We start from the raw sequence: 14,330 nt of genomic DNA, 5'->3' as shown, positions 1-14,330 counted from the left end.
TTAATGAGTAAATGGAAGTTCAGACATATTAACCAATTTGCCACAAATTACAAAATTAGTAAATGACAGAGTGCAGGTTCCAACCCATATCCCTATCAAAGCCCATATACACCTCAACCACTGTGTGATTCATCCCGGTTTCACTCTACATATTAGCTTAGAAAAAAATTAATCAATAATTTTTCCAGGAAGAGACAATGGAGAAAAGAATAATCCCTAATAAAGGAAGTTATTATAATGAACTACAAGATCAGACTAACGCAGACCCACCAGGCAGAGGCCTGGAGAGATGCCTCAGGGGACCCAAACTCGTGGGTACGGGGCCACGGGTCACCCGCCCGTCTATCCTGTTTCCAGGGTCGTCAGCACGGGAGGCTGCCCCTCTCTGCACAGGCGCCAGGAACCGCGGTCCGGCCTCCGTCCAGCCCAGACAGGGTCAGAGCGAAGCCTGGGAGGCCACAAAGCCGGCTCTCTGCACCACGGCTTCCACCGGATTCGCGGGGGTGGAGTGCATCCGAAAAGAACTGAGGAGGCTCCCACCAGAGCTGCAGGACCCAGCTCTTCACCTCGGTTCCCTTGAGCACGAGCTTGCTAGACTTCACATAAGAGTACTAGGCCATGGCTCCGGGAGACTTCTGCGCGGACAGGCTGAAGCCGGCTCAGGACGAGTATGTGACCTGGAGCAGCACCAGGGCAGGGAGGAACAGAAGTGGAGGCGAAGTAAACACTCCCTGACAGCCTACGTCTGTCCAGAACCCGCCTCCGTCTTCACCCAAACGGTGAATGCCCGAGATTTCCACTTCCAGGTTTCTGCCGGGAGGGGGGGGGGGGGCGGGGCGTGAGGGAGGAGCTACGGCGGCTGCAGAGGGCCGAAAGGTGTCCGCATGCATCTGCTCCCTGGCGCCCTCTCGAGGAGCCCCTGAGGATTCGTGCCTCCCAGAGGTGGGGAAAGCCCGCCCGAGGCGCAGGTGCTGACGGTGGCGGGGCTGCCGGGCGCGCTGTGGAACCTCCTCTCGCTAGAGATGCGGGCTGGCGACGGTCCCCGCGGGGGCGGGAAGCGGCTCAGGCTGCCCTCCCCGGCCTGCGGCGGCGCATCTTGAAGCGCGGGCCACTCCCGCGCAGGTCACTCAGGGCTGTGCCTCGCGCGACTGTGTGTGCAGGAAACAAACAGGAAATACCCTAAAATGGAATGAAGAGACATGTTGAGGCCCGCGGATGTCGCGAGTGCTGTGGGAATGTGGGCGGAGGTGGAGAGTTATGGTGGCGCGTGTTACAGGCTCAGGGGTCAGGAAGAAGCCTAATCCTGGAGGCGGCATCTGAGGAGGGTCTTGAACGCTGGGCAGGCTTTTGCCCGATAGAGATGGAGGAAGCTAGTCCTGTCTGATGGAGGAAACAGGGCAGAGGCGTGGAGGGAGATGCGCAGTGCTGGTGTGAGGAGCCGCGAGCAGGCCAGGCCTGTAAAGCAGAGTGATGGGAACCAGGATAGAGAAGGCAAATCGGGGTCCTGCGGTCGCTGAAGAATTTGAATGAAATCATTAAACAGGTGAGAGGGATCCATCGCAAGAGCATGGGATGAAACGAGGAGTAGTCCACGGTGATCCCTCTGCAGCGGTGGGTATTATTAATCGCACATGTGACACCAAAACGGTGGGTATTATTGATAGCGTATGTGACACCAAAACCACCCCACTCAAGCTGTGGCTCTTTCCCTAAAGTAGAAAACAGAGACCAGTTGGGTTCCAAGCATCCACAAAGATCTTATTAAATTCGTGATCCCTGGTGGCACCATGGAGTCAGGATTGGCTCATTTCAAACCTGACTCAGAAATAAAACCATCTCAATGTGCGGAGATGAGCGTCCTTACCCGCTATCATAACGTATTTTCTGGTGTTTTCACAGTGCTGCGCTTCCTAATCCCCATTCTAGGGCAATCCACATGCCATGATGCCCAGAGGCATTAACAAAGGAGACACACAGGGGCTCCTCACGTTGGCTTTCCATGGTTTTGATGAAAATCTCAGTTTCCTCATCTCATACAATGTGGTTCGTAATAGTATCATTTAGGGTTGAAGAATTAAATGGTACAAATTATATAGAGTGCTTATTATAACCTACATGGAAAATGCCTAGGATATGTTAGCTATGCTCATCACCAACATCGTTATATGATGGTAATAATCAGATAGTCAGGAAGGCCGACACCAAGAAAATGGATACATGCTCTGAGGGAATGAATGTGGAGAGATCAGAAGGTCAAGAACAAAGCCGTACAACATGTCTGCAGTAAAGGGATAGAGAAAAGAAAGGCTATAAAAGAAGGAATTAAACAGTTAGAGTAAAATTATAAAATCAAAGCTAAGGAGAATTTCCAGAAAGGGTAATATCATTTAATATCATAGAAGTTTAGGAGCACAAGATGGAAAAAAGGCCTCTGGGTAACTGACATTGAGGCAGTCTTTAGGGAAGCTCCATTTCCGATAGAGAAGTAGACACAAAGTCAGCTTGAAGCAGGGACTAGGTGAAGAAGCTGTTGGCTGGTCGCATGGGGAAATAAATAAGGGATGGCATATGCCATATTTCTGGATTTCTTTCTTGCCCAGCCTCTATATATGCATAGAGTTTGGCGAAAACTTACAAAAAATAAAAATGAAACCAATTTCGTTTGTTGACTGAAATACAATGCTTCGTGTTAGAATCAAGATAAATTCATGCCTCTCCCTTCTATTGTCACCGTCAGTTTTGAAATTAAACATCAGCTTTTCTTCTTCATTAAAATCATTTTCAACTCCTCCCAGGTGTTGGTGGTTTGGGGGAGTTACATAAGCAGTCAGGTCTTGATGAGTAGAGGAGGAGGGAACAAACACTTTCAGCAAAGGCAGAATTCTGAAATTCTGCTCGTATTTTTCTCCAGTAACTTTCCTATGTTTGTGAGGTTATTCAGTCATAAAGATCCTAGTGAAATTTTTTTCAAGCTTGACTAATCATAATCACTGTGGACGTTTGTTTAAAATGTGTATTCCCAGGCTTCTCACCTGCTGATTCTGATTCAGGAGATCACGGATGGGACTCAGAATACATGTGTTTGACAAGTACCACAAGTGTTTCTTATGGTCAGGCAAATTTTGGAATCTAACCAGAAATTTATGTTTTTATGACTGGCAGCTAGAAAAGATTCCTAGAGTCTTTGCTTTTTGAAAATAAAATATTTCTTTTTTAAAAGGAAAATTGTATGAATAGATACAACATTTATACATGTGGCACATGTACTATACTGTGTGCTTTTGTCATATTTACAGTTAAAGATGTGTAAGAACATTCTGAGAAAAATTATACATTAAATGCAAAGAGGGGTAAGTCAGGGTGGGGGAGAAATGGGAAGGGTGTGCTTATTGTTGCCAAAAGGTAGAAAAGCCAGAATGATAGCAACTAAGGTTGCAAATAGCACATTGTAAGTTGAGGGAGCTTCATAATCATGTCTGAAACCTTTGATATACTGAGTTGTAAACAGTGTCTTTGGACAAGATTTGAGGGAGAAACCAACTATGCTTTAAAGTGTTCATTTAAAAGGCTTTAATTAAAGGAAAGTCTTTATATTTACTTCAGCTAACTTAACTTCAGGACTTTAACAAATTACTAGCCCTTAACCTCTTAAAAATTGTCTTTCATTTCAAATGAAAGTTTAAAGTGGCCTTTATGTTCGATTGGTATACTTGTGCGAAGACTTAACAGCAAGGTACTGTACATTTCTAAATGTTTACTTCTTAATTTTTCTGGAAGAAATATACTACTAAATTGATTATTTTTAAAGCAAAGTAAAACAATTTATTTTGACAAGCGACACTGTGTTTTCCCAGTTTTCTGGTAGCAAAGATTAGGCTTAACATCACTAATCATCAGAGAAATGCAGATCAAAACCAAAATGAGATACCATCCTACACCAGTCAGAATAGCTACTATTAAAAAATCAAAAAACAACAGATCTTGGGAGGCTGTGGAGAAAAGGGAATATTTACACATAATTGGAGCGAATGTAAATTAGTTCAACCACTGTTGAAAGCAGTTTGGAAATTTCTCAGATAATTTAAAATAGAAATTCCTTTCAAGCCAATAATTCCATTACTGGTATATGACCCAAAGAAAGTCAGTTATTCTACCAAAAACACATACGCACTTGCATGTTCATCGCAGCACTATTCACAATAGCAAAGACATGGAGTCAGCCTAGGTGCCCATCAACAGTGGATTGGATCAATAAAATGTGGTACATCCACATTAGTATTATTAGGCCATTCTTGCATTGCTATGAAGAAATACCTGAGACTGGGTAATTTATAAGGAAAAGAGGTTTAATTGGCTCATAGCTCTGCAGGCTGTACAGGAAGCATGGTGACAGCATCTGCATGGTGCCTGTGTAGTCTCCAGGGAGCTTTTACTCATGATGGAAGGCCAAGAGGGAGTAAGTACATCACATGGCCAGAGCAGTAGCAAGAGAGAATGGGAGTGGGGGTAAGTACCACACACCCTTAAACAACCAGATCTTGAAAGAATTCACTATCACAAGGACAGCATCAGGCCATGAGAGATCCACCCCCATGACCCAAACACCTCCTACCAGGCCCCACCTCCAACACTGAGGATTACATTTCACCATGAGATTTATAGGGGCCACCTTCCAAACCATTTCACACACCATGGAATACTATGCAGCCATAAAAATAACAAAATCATGTCCTTTGAAGCAACATGGATGCAGCTGAAGGCCATTATCCTAAGTAAATTAATGCAGGAATACAAAACGAAATACCACATGATCTCACTTATAAGTGGGAGCTAAACACTGGGTACTCATGGACATAAAGATGGACAGAATAAACACCAGGACTACTAGAGGGGAGAAGGAGGAAGGCAAGGTTTGACAAACTAACTATTGGGTACTATGCTCATGTATTAATCTGTTCTCACACTGCTATATAGAACTACCTGAGGCTGGGTAATTTATAAAGAAAAGAGGTTTAACTGACTCACAGTTCCACAGGCTGTACAGGAAGCATGGCTGGGAGGCTTCAGGAAACTTATAATCATGGCAGAAGGTGAAGTGGGAAGCAAGGCACGTTCTACCATGGTGGCAGGAGAGCAAGTGAGCCAGGGGGGATGTGCCATATGTTTAAACCATCAGATCTCATGAGAACTCACTTACCATCTAAGAACAGCAAGGGGGAAATCTGCCCTCATGAGCTAATCACCTCCCACCAGGTCATTCCCCCTACATTGGGAATTACAATTCAACATGAGATTTTTGTGGGGACACAGAGTCAAACCATACCAAATCAGCATCTGGATGATGGGATCATTCATACCCCAAAACTCAGCAATATGAGATATACCCATGTAACAAACTGGCACACGTACCCCTGAATGTAAAATACAAGTTAAAATTATTTTCAAAATAAATTAATGAATAAATAAATATGATTAAATGAAATTAAAATTTTGAATTAAAAAAATTTGAGAGTGATTTCAGCTTGACAGTTATGTAAGTTATGTACATTGAAACACTGAGTTCTGTAGGGTTCGGATCAATTGCACTATCTCTACTAAGTTGATGACCAGTTATTTGGATGAAAAGAAAAGAGGAGAAACATATAGATCTAACAGGAAAAAAATGGACCAGTTTTTATGATAGCAAAAAGAAGAATGGAGGAAACAGGACTGAGGTTATAGTGATTGATAGATATTAATAGATGACTAAGTCAAAAGCCACTGGTTGCAGAAAATATTGATTAATTTTGTTTTATTCCAGTCAGACAAAAAAATCCTATAACCTGCCTCTAGAGAAAACCCTTTTAGCCCTGTAATTATCTTTATTCCAACACCATTCCGTTCATTAAGTATAGGGTGATTAATAAGTGAATTATTCACAGAATTAAGACAGAATTTTTGAGTATTTCAGGATATTAATAGTATAGTCAATGAACTAAAATAAAATTTGACTAGAGGTGTGATCACCATGAATGCCATGTTGGTCTCTTGTTAGATTTGGCAACCTAAAGTTGACAAATTTATTAATAAAATAAACGTTCCTTGATGATTAATTTACATTTAGTAGACATGCTCTTTCTTCTTCCTTCCCTTTCTTATTCATTCATTCATTCATTCCTACAGAGCAGTGACTTTCATTCTAAGATTCCCAGAATCCTAAGGAATTCTTAAATGTCATCATAGGGAGCCAGGTGTGAGGATTCCCAAAAGTTGTATTTAATACTTGAAGAATCTCGAAAAGTTATATATTTACACCAGAAAAAACTATACAGGTTTTAAGTTATATACATATAGTTGAATACTTCTTATTTCTATCCAGAACTAAGTCATTAGAGTTAATAATGTTGATTATTTCATACTGACATAATGGGTAGCCTTTATATATCATTGATTACTTATTAGTAAAATAAGAACCCCCCCAAAATTACAAAATAAATATATTTTTAGGGTTTTTCTTAAGGCTTTTGAAACATAAAATCAGAGGAGAGGATTAAAAGTAATCCTTGATTGTTAAAAAGGCAGGGAACTACTAACTTAGAAAATTGCATGAAAACAGCAAGATATATACATGGCCCTCAGACCAGCTGCCTGTTTTAATAAAGTTTTATTGGAGCACATCCATGGATCTATGGTGCTTTCCTGCTACAATGGTAGAGTTGAATGGTTGCTATAGAGACCGTATGGTTTGCAAAGCCTAAAATATTTTTCATTTTAGGTCCTTTTTTTTTTCATTTAGGACCACATTTTCTGGTCCTTTATAGCAAAAGTGAACCCAGTTTTAGAACATTAACTTTACAAATTAAGATACAGTGGATGCTGCCTTAACTGACCTCCACTTAACTGATTTACAATCAGCACTTTCTTGTACCCGTGTACAACTTATTGACTGATGTCCACTGCAAACTGAAAGCCTTTGAGCTGCTTTTAATGCCTGTACATTTCTCCTTCCATCACAGAAATTGTATATTTTCTAAGAGGAAGCTGTGTTCATTCCTAAATATGTTTACGCCATTTGTTCTTGTTCTTGTAGTTATGCAATTTAATTAAATATGATGTTGAGAGGCTGAGACGGGCGGATCACTAGGTCAGGAGATCGAGCCATCCTGGCTAACTCGGTGAAACCCCGTCTCTACTGAAAATACAAAAAAATTAGCTGTGCGTGGTGGCGGGTGCCTGTACGCCCAGCTTCTGGGGAGGTTGAGGCAGGAGAATGGCATGAACCCGGGAGGCGGAGCTTGCAGTGAGCAAAGATCGCACTACTGCACTCCAGCCTGGGTGACAGAGCGAGACTCCGTCTCAAAATAAATAAATAAATAAATAAATAAATAAATAAATAAATAAATAAATATTACGTAAACTGAGAAAATGAGTATAACAAGAGTAGTATTGTTTCTCTGAGAAATAAACTAAATGTGTTGGAAAAATGAGAAACTCAAACAGTTGCTGTCAGCTTAACTGTTGGCAAGACAACTAGAAACAAATGGGAAAAATTGTGTAATCTAGGATTTCAGATTGCCTTACCCCAGTTGTCTTCACAGAAAGTGAACAAGAAATCAATGACAACATATCATTGGCATAGTTTCCACAAGAAACTCCACTCTGAATCCGTGCAAGGCTTTGACCTTGTCATCGAAATTCTGGCAAATTTATTTACACATGTCTTTTAAATTAAAGTTAAATTTTAAGGACTTACATCTAATACTTCTTATGATTCCTCCATCTAACTTAAATTTGTGATTAATCTGTTTATTACTGGTCCCAATCTGATTGAATAAGGGGGTTTCTACCGTTTTTGCTAACCAAAAGTTTACTTTGATGAAGATGGAATTATAAATACAATAATTCAAGTTTAAAGAATTAGAATGGTAATGGTTAATACAATTTAGTATGCCTAAAAATCACTTGAAAAGCTTACTAACAATGTAAATTCTTGTGCCTTAGGCCTGAGATTTTGATTCAATAGGTCTAGCATGGGGCATAGGAATCTGTATTTTTAGGAATGATAAAGGAAAATTGCTTAAAATAGGTTAAATTATGACTTACAAATATAAAATGAACACTTGTCTAAGATTTTTGTTTAACTCATTTGTTTAATGAGGGAGCCAGTAAGATGTTATACTGAGTTTTATGGAAAATTAAAAGAGCCACACATATCTAGGCACTAAGGAACACTGAAATAAATTTGCTTGATAGGTTCAAAACTGACTTCTTGATGGAAGGTGGAAAAAGGAAAATTAATTATACTTCCACCAAAATCAATCATTTGCCTGTCTATAAACATGAATATTTGCATTACTATCAGTAATCTACAACTAACAGAATTGCAAATAACAAAGAAAACAAAAGGCACAGAGACTCCATAGAAACAGATAACTCAGGTTATTCTAGACAAGGCTGAGGTTTCCATTAAAGACACTCAGTGGTAATTTCGTTGGTCCATCTTAAAATCTTTCCATTTTCTCCTGAAACAAATTGCTCAAGCAATTCAAATACAATGAATGTGGTCAGTGGGTCACACCTGGAGAAATCATTTTCTAACCTGTAGTCAAGGCTGTTGAATTACTCCCTTCACTGGAAAGAATAAAATATTACCACATAAATTCGTATTATGATAATGGTCCACTATGAATGCTTTGGTGTTCTTAATTTTCTTAAGATTTATTAGTATTTCTGAAGTAACTACTAAATGCCAAGCAATATATTTTCTAATTTAATCTTTCATTGACTTTTACTTTCGCTTCAATTGAGCTACTCACTTTCATGACTATAAACTTAACTTTTCAATAACTTAAAAATTGATTTCTAATGTTATAAACTTTAATGTTCCACTCTGTGACCTGCTCTTTCAGACTCTCTCTTCCTTACTGCCAATTCACCTTCTCTTCTATCTCTTCCAGTGCCTCAGTATCTTGACTCTTCCATTTTCTTTTTTCTTTTCTTTTATTAAGTGGATACATGATAATTTCACATGTTGATGGGGTACAATGTGGTATTTTGATACTTGACACATTATTAAAACCTCTCCTCCCTATCTTTCCCAGTCTGGTAACCACTCTTCTACTCTCTATTAGATCAGTGTTTTTAGATTTCACATATAAATGAGATCATGTGATATTTGTCTTACCGTGGTTAGCTTATTTCACTTACCACAATGTCGTCTATGCTCATTCGTGTTGTCACAAGTGACATGATTTTACCGTTTATTATGGCCAAATGTGCATATGATATAGTTTGGATATTTGTCCTGACCCATATCTCATGTTATATTGTAATCCCCACTGTTAGAGATGGGGTCTGGTAGGGGGTGTTTGGGTCATGGAGGTGGATCCCTCATGGTTTGGTGCTATCCTCATGATAGTGAACGAGTTCCCAAGCTTCCTGACTAGTCAAGCAGATGTTGGCATTATGCTCCCTGTACAGCCCATGGGACCAGGAGCCAATTACGTCTCTTTTCTTATAAATTATCCAATCTCAGGTATTTCTTTATTCTTGCAATGCAAGAATGACCAAATACAGCATATATGCCACATTTTCTTTCTCCATTCATTCATTGATGGACACTTAGGTTGATTCTAGGCTATTGTGAATAGTGCTGTAATAAACATGAGAGTCCAGAAATCTCTTTGACATACTGATTTAATATTCTTTGAATATATACCCAGTAGTGGGATTGCTGGATTATGTGATAAGTCTATTTTTAATGTTTTTGGAAGTTTTATTGTTTTCCATAACAATTGCTCTAATTTACATTTCCACCAACAGTGTATGAACATTGCCCTTTCTTCACATCCTTGCCAGCATTTGTTATTTTTTGACTTTTTCATAAAAAGCATTCTAAGCAGGGTGAGATGATATCTCACTGTGGATTTGACTTCCATTTCTCTGATTATTAGTGATGGTGAGCATTTTTTCATATACCTGTTGGCGATTTTTTTGTCTTATTTGGAGAAATGTCTATTCAACTGTCTTGACTTTTCTAATCCAATTATTTGTATTTTTGCTATTGAGTTGTTTGAGTTTTCTATAAATTTGGGATATTAACCCCTTATGAAGTGAATAGTTTGCAGATATTTTCTCCTGTTTTGTAGGTTGTCTCTTCACTGTCATGATTGTTTCCTATGCAGTGCAGAAGTTTTTATTTGGTGTAATCTCATTTGTTTATTTTTGCTTTTGTTGTGCCTGTCTTTTGATGTCTTTTCTAAAAAGTCGTTGCCCAGATCAATGACATATAACATTTCACTTATGTTTTCTTCTACTAGTTTCATAGTTTGGGGTCTTACATTTAAATATTTAATTTATTTTGAGTTGATTTTTGTATATGATGAGAGATAGGGGTCTACTTTCATTCTTTTGTATGTGGGTATGCACATTTCCCAGCACCATTTGTTGAAAAGACTGTCTTTCCCAATTGAATGTTTGCACCTTTGTCAAAAATAAGTTGCATGTAAATATGTGGATTTATGCCTGGGCTCTCTATTTTTGTTCCACTGGTCTACATGCCTGTTTTTATGCCAATACCATGCTGTTTTAGTTAGGGTAGCTTTGTAATATATTTTGAAATTAGATAGTGTAATACCTCTAGCATTGCTCTTTTTGCTTAAGATTTATTTGGCTATTTGGGGTGTTTTGTAGTTTCACATGGATTTTAAGATATTTTTTAATATCTGTGAAGAATGAAATTGGAAATTTGATAGAGATTATATTGGATTTATAGATTGATTTGAGTAGTATGGTAATTTCAACAATATTAATTCTTCTAGTCCATGAACATGGGATATCTTTCTATTTATTTTAATTTTTTAAATTGCTTTTATCAATGTTTAATTATTTTCATCTTTCTGTGGCTTAATTTACTGGTAGGTATTTTGTTTTTTTAATAGCTATTTTAAGTGGAATTATTTTCTTGATTCCTTTTTCAGATAGTCTGCTATTGGTGTATAGAGATGTTACTGATTTTTTATGTAGCTTTTGTATCCTGAAACCTTATTGTATTCATTTACTATTTCTGATTCTCAGTGGTGTATTTAGGGTTTTTTACATATATGATCATGTCATCTACAAAGAGGGACAATTTGACTTTTTTTCCATTTGCATGCCTTTTATTTCTTTCTGTTACCTAATTGTTATGACTAGGACTTCCAGTACTATGTTGAAAAAAGTGATTAAAGTGAACATCCTTGTCTTGTTCCAGATCCTAGAGGCAAAGCTTTCAAGTTTTCACCATTCAGTATAATGTTGCCTGTGGGTTATCACATATGGTCTTTATTTTATTATGTTCTTTTATAACTAATTTGTTAAAAGGTTTGATCATAAAAGGATGTCTAATTTTGTCAAATGCTTTTTCTGCATCTATTGAAATGATTATATGTTTTTTATCCTTCTTTGTTTAATGTGATGTATCACATTTTATTGATTTACATGTATTAGACTATCCTTACCTCCCCGGGTAAATACCACTTGATTATGGTGAATAATCTTTTTAATGTGCTTTTGAATTATCATTGCTAGATCTGCTGGTTTTGAATGTTTCCATCTATGTTTATCAATGATATTGGCCTGGAGTTTTCTTTTATTTGCTGTTCTTGTCTCATTTTGGAATCAGGAAATGCTGTCTTCATAGAATGACTTTGGAAGAGTTCCCTCCTTTTCATTTTTTTGAAATAGTTTGTAAATAATTTGTATAAATTTTTTAAATGTTTTGTAGAATTTGTCAGCAAAAACCACCAAGTCGTGAACTTTTCTTTCTTCCTCTATTTTTTTAGAGACAGAGTCTCACTCTATCACTGAGGCTGGCATACAGTGGTGCAGTCATAGCTGACTGCAGCCTCAAACTCCTGGTCTTAAGTGATCCTCCTGCCTCAGTCTCCTGAGTACAAGTACACACCACTATACCTGGGGAATTTTTATTTGTATTTTTAGAGACGGAGTCTCGTTGTGTTGCCCAGGCTAATCTTGAACTCCTGGCCTCTAGTGATTCTCCTGCCTTGGGCTCCTAAACTGTGAGATTACAGATGTGAGCTACTGTGTGAAGTCTTTTGGATTTTCCTTGAATGAGAGCCTAAATCGCTCCTTCCATCTCATTATTTGTCATTGGTGTGTTCACATTTTCTACTTCTTTCTTCAATTTTGATGGGTTATATGTGTCCAGAGCATACGTATTTCTTCTAAGCTTTTCAATTTATTGGCGTATAATTGTTTGTAGTACTTACTCACTATTCCTTATATTTCTCTAGAGTCTATCATAGTATATCCTTTTTCATCTCTGATTTTATGTGAATTTTCTCTTTTTTTCTTAGTCTGACAAAACATTTGTCAATTTTACGTTTTCAAAAAAGATTCCTTCATTTAATTAGTCGTTTGTATTTTTTGTCTTTATTTTGTATATTTGTGCTCTCATCTTTATATTCTTTTGCTAATTTGGGTCTTAGTTTGTTCTTGATTTTATAGTTCCTTGAAATACATTGTTAGATGTTTTATTCATTATCTTTCTTCTTTATTGATGTCAAAATGTATTGCTATAAACTTCCCTCTAAGAACTGTTTTGCTGTATTTCATAAGTTTTCATATGTTCTGATTTCATTTTTATTTGTCTTAAGACGTTTTAAAATTAAATTTTTTTTCATTGACCCATTGGTTGTTTAGGGATATGTTGCTTAATTTGTATGTATTTGCACAATTTCTGAAGTTCCTCCTGTTGTTTATGTCTAGCTTTATTCCATATGGTCAAAAAAAACACATGATATGGTTTGATTTTTTGATTAGTTAAGACTTGTTTTGTGCTCTAACATATCTATCATGGACAATATTCCATATGCAGGTGAAAAGACACTGAATTATGCAATTGTTGGATGAAATGTTATGTAAATAACTGTTAAGTTCTTTTGATCTAGAGTGCAGTTTAAATGTTTCTTTGTTGAGATTCTCTCTCAATGATCTGTTCATTGCTGAAAATGGGATATCGAGGTTTCTTACTATTATTGTACAGTTTTTTGTCTCTCCTTTTAGATCTATTAATGTTTGCTTTATATATTTAGGTTCTCCAATGTTGAGTGCATTATATATTTACAATTATTGTATTCTCTTGTTCTACTGACCCCTTTATTATTACATAATGGCCTTGTTTGTCTGTCTTTACAGTTTTTTTACTTGAAGTCTATTTTATTTGATATAAATATAACTACTTCTGCATTCTTTTGATTTCCATTGTCATAAAATATATTTTTCCATCTGATCACTTTCAATTTATGTGTGTATTTACAGGTGATGGGAGTCTCTTGTAGAAAGAATATAGTTAGGTCTTGTTTTTAATCCATTTACCCATTATCTGTCTTCTTACTGGATAATTTAATCTATGTACATTCAAGGTAATTATTGATAGATAAGGACCTGTACTGCCATATACTGTTTTCTTGGTGTCTTTTAGAATTTTTGTACCTTTTTGTCCCTTTGTTGTCTTCCTTTGTAGTTAAGTGATTTTCTCTGTGTGTTTTTGTTTCTTGTTCTTTTATTTTTAGTGTATCTAATAAAAATGTTTGCCTTTTGGTTACTATGAGGCATGCGAAGAATGTATTGTCATGAAAAGCAATAAAACTGTGATAATAGAAATTAAAAGTGAGTAGGAACTTATTTAAAAATCATCATTCTCCTTTTCAATGCAAAAATAAGAACTAGAAACTTTTAATAAGGCAATAGTCCAAAGAAATAACTTATGGAAGATAACATGGGTTTTTTAATCTTAAAGCGTTCTTTTGTATATTCAAGGGTCGATATTGGCTGCCTTGAATCCTACTAAAATTTCAATGTAAGTTTTAGAGACGGAGGAAAGAGTCAAAGAAAAAAATGTACTGGAAAAAGTTAAATAAGTAAGGAAGATATTATTCAAGCTATTGCAATACGGGAGAGAGGCCAGACCTAGTCTGAACTCAGCTCCCCTGATACAAAGGGCCGTGGAGTTTTTGAAAGTGAGGGTAAGAGGGCGATCATAGGCCACCTGTCTTTGCTAACTGTCTTTTCTCAAAGGAAAAATAAACTTTCTTTTATCTTTATGATATAAGGTAATTTTTACAACTTGGAGCAAGATTAGGCTCTTACTCTCTCCTGGAGACTGGGAAATAAGGTATTATCCTTCTGGAGGATTACATTTGAAAGGGATGGCTACCAGATCCTTGAAAAAGGAAATTTTCTGCTTACAAGTTACACATGCCACTTCTACCTGCATTTCACTGGCCAAACAGGTCACATGTCTTAATCTGACCCTTCCTTCAATAGGACAGAAATGTATAATCTTCTAG

General features: G+C 37.3%; 1 pseudogene across 2 annotated transcripts in view; it reads right to left on the bottom strand.

Annotated features, from left to right (window-relative positions):
• The window catches only part of FRG1BP (FSHD region gene 1 family member B, pseudogene), a 42,680-nt pseudogene extending 41,852 nt beyond the window's left edge, over positions 1–828 (bottom strand). For both annotated transcript variants that reach the window (NR_145491.1, NR_003579.2), the window contains exon 1: positions 567–828. The product of NR_145491.1 is annotated as an FSHD region gene 1 family member B, pseudogene, transcript variant 1 (transcript). The remainder of the gene's footprint in view (positions 1–566) is intronic.
• Positions 829–14,330: the final 13,502 nt, after the last annotated feature.

The sequence above is a fragment of the Homo sapiens genome, chromosome 20 (genome assembly GCF_000001405.40).
Source record: "Homo sapiens chromosome 20, GRCh38.p14 Primary Assembly".
In the NCBI taxonomy this organism is placed as follows: domain Eukaryota; kingdom Metazoa; phylum Chordata; class Mammalia; order Primates; family Hominidae; genus Homo; species Homo sapiens.
This window is presented reverse-complemented; position numbering and strand designations above follow the sequence as displayed.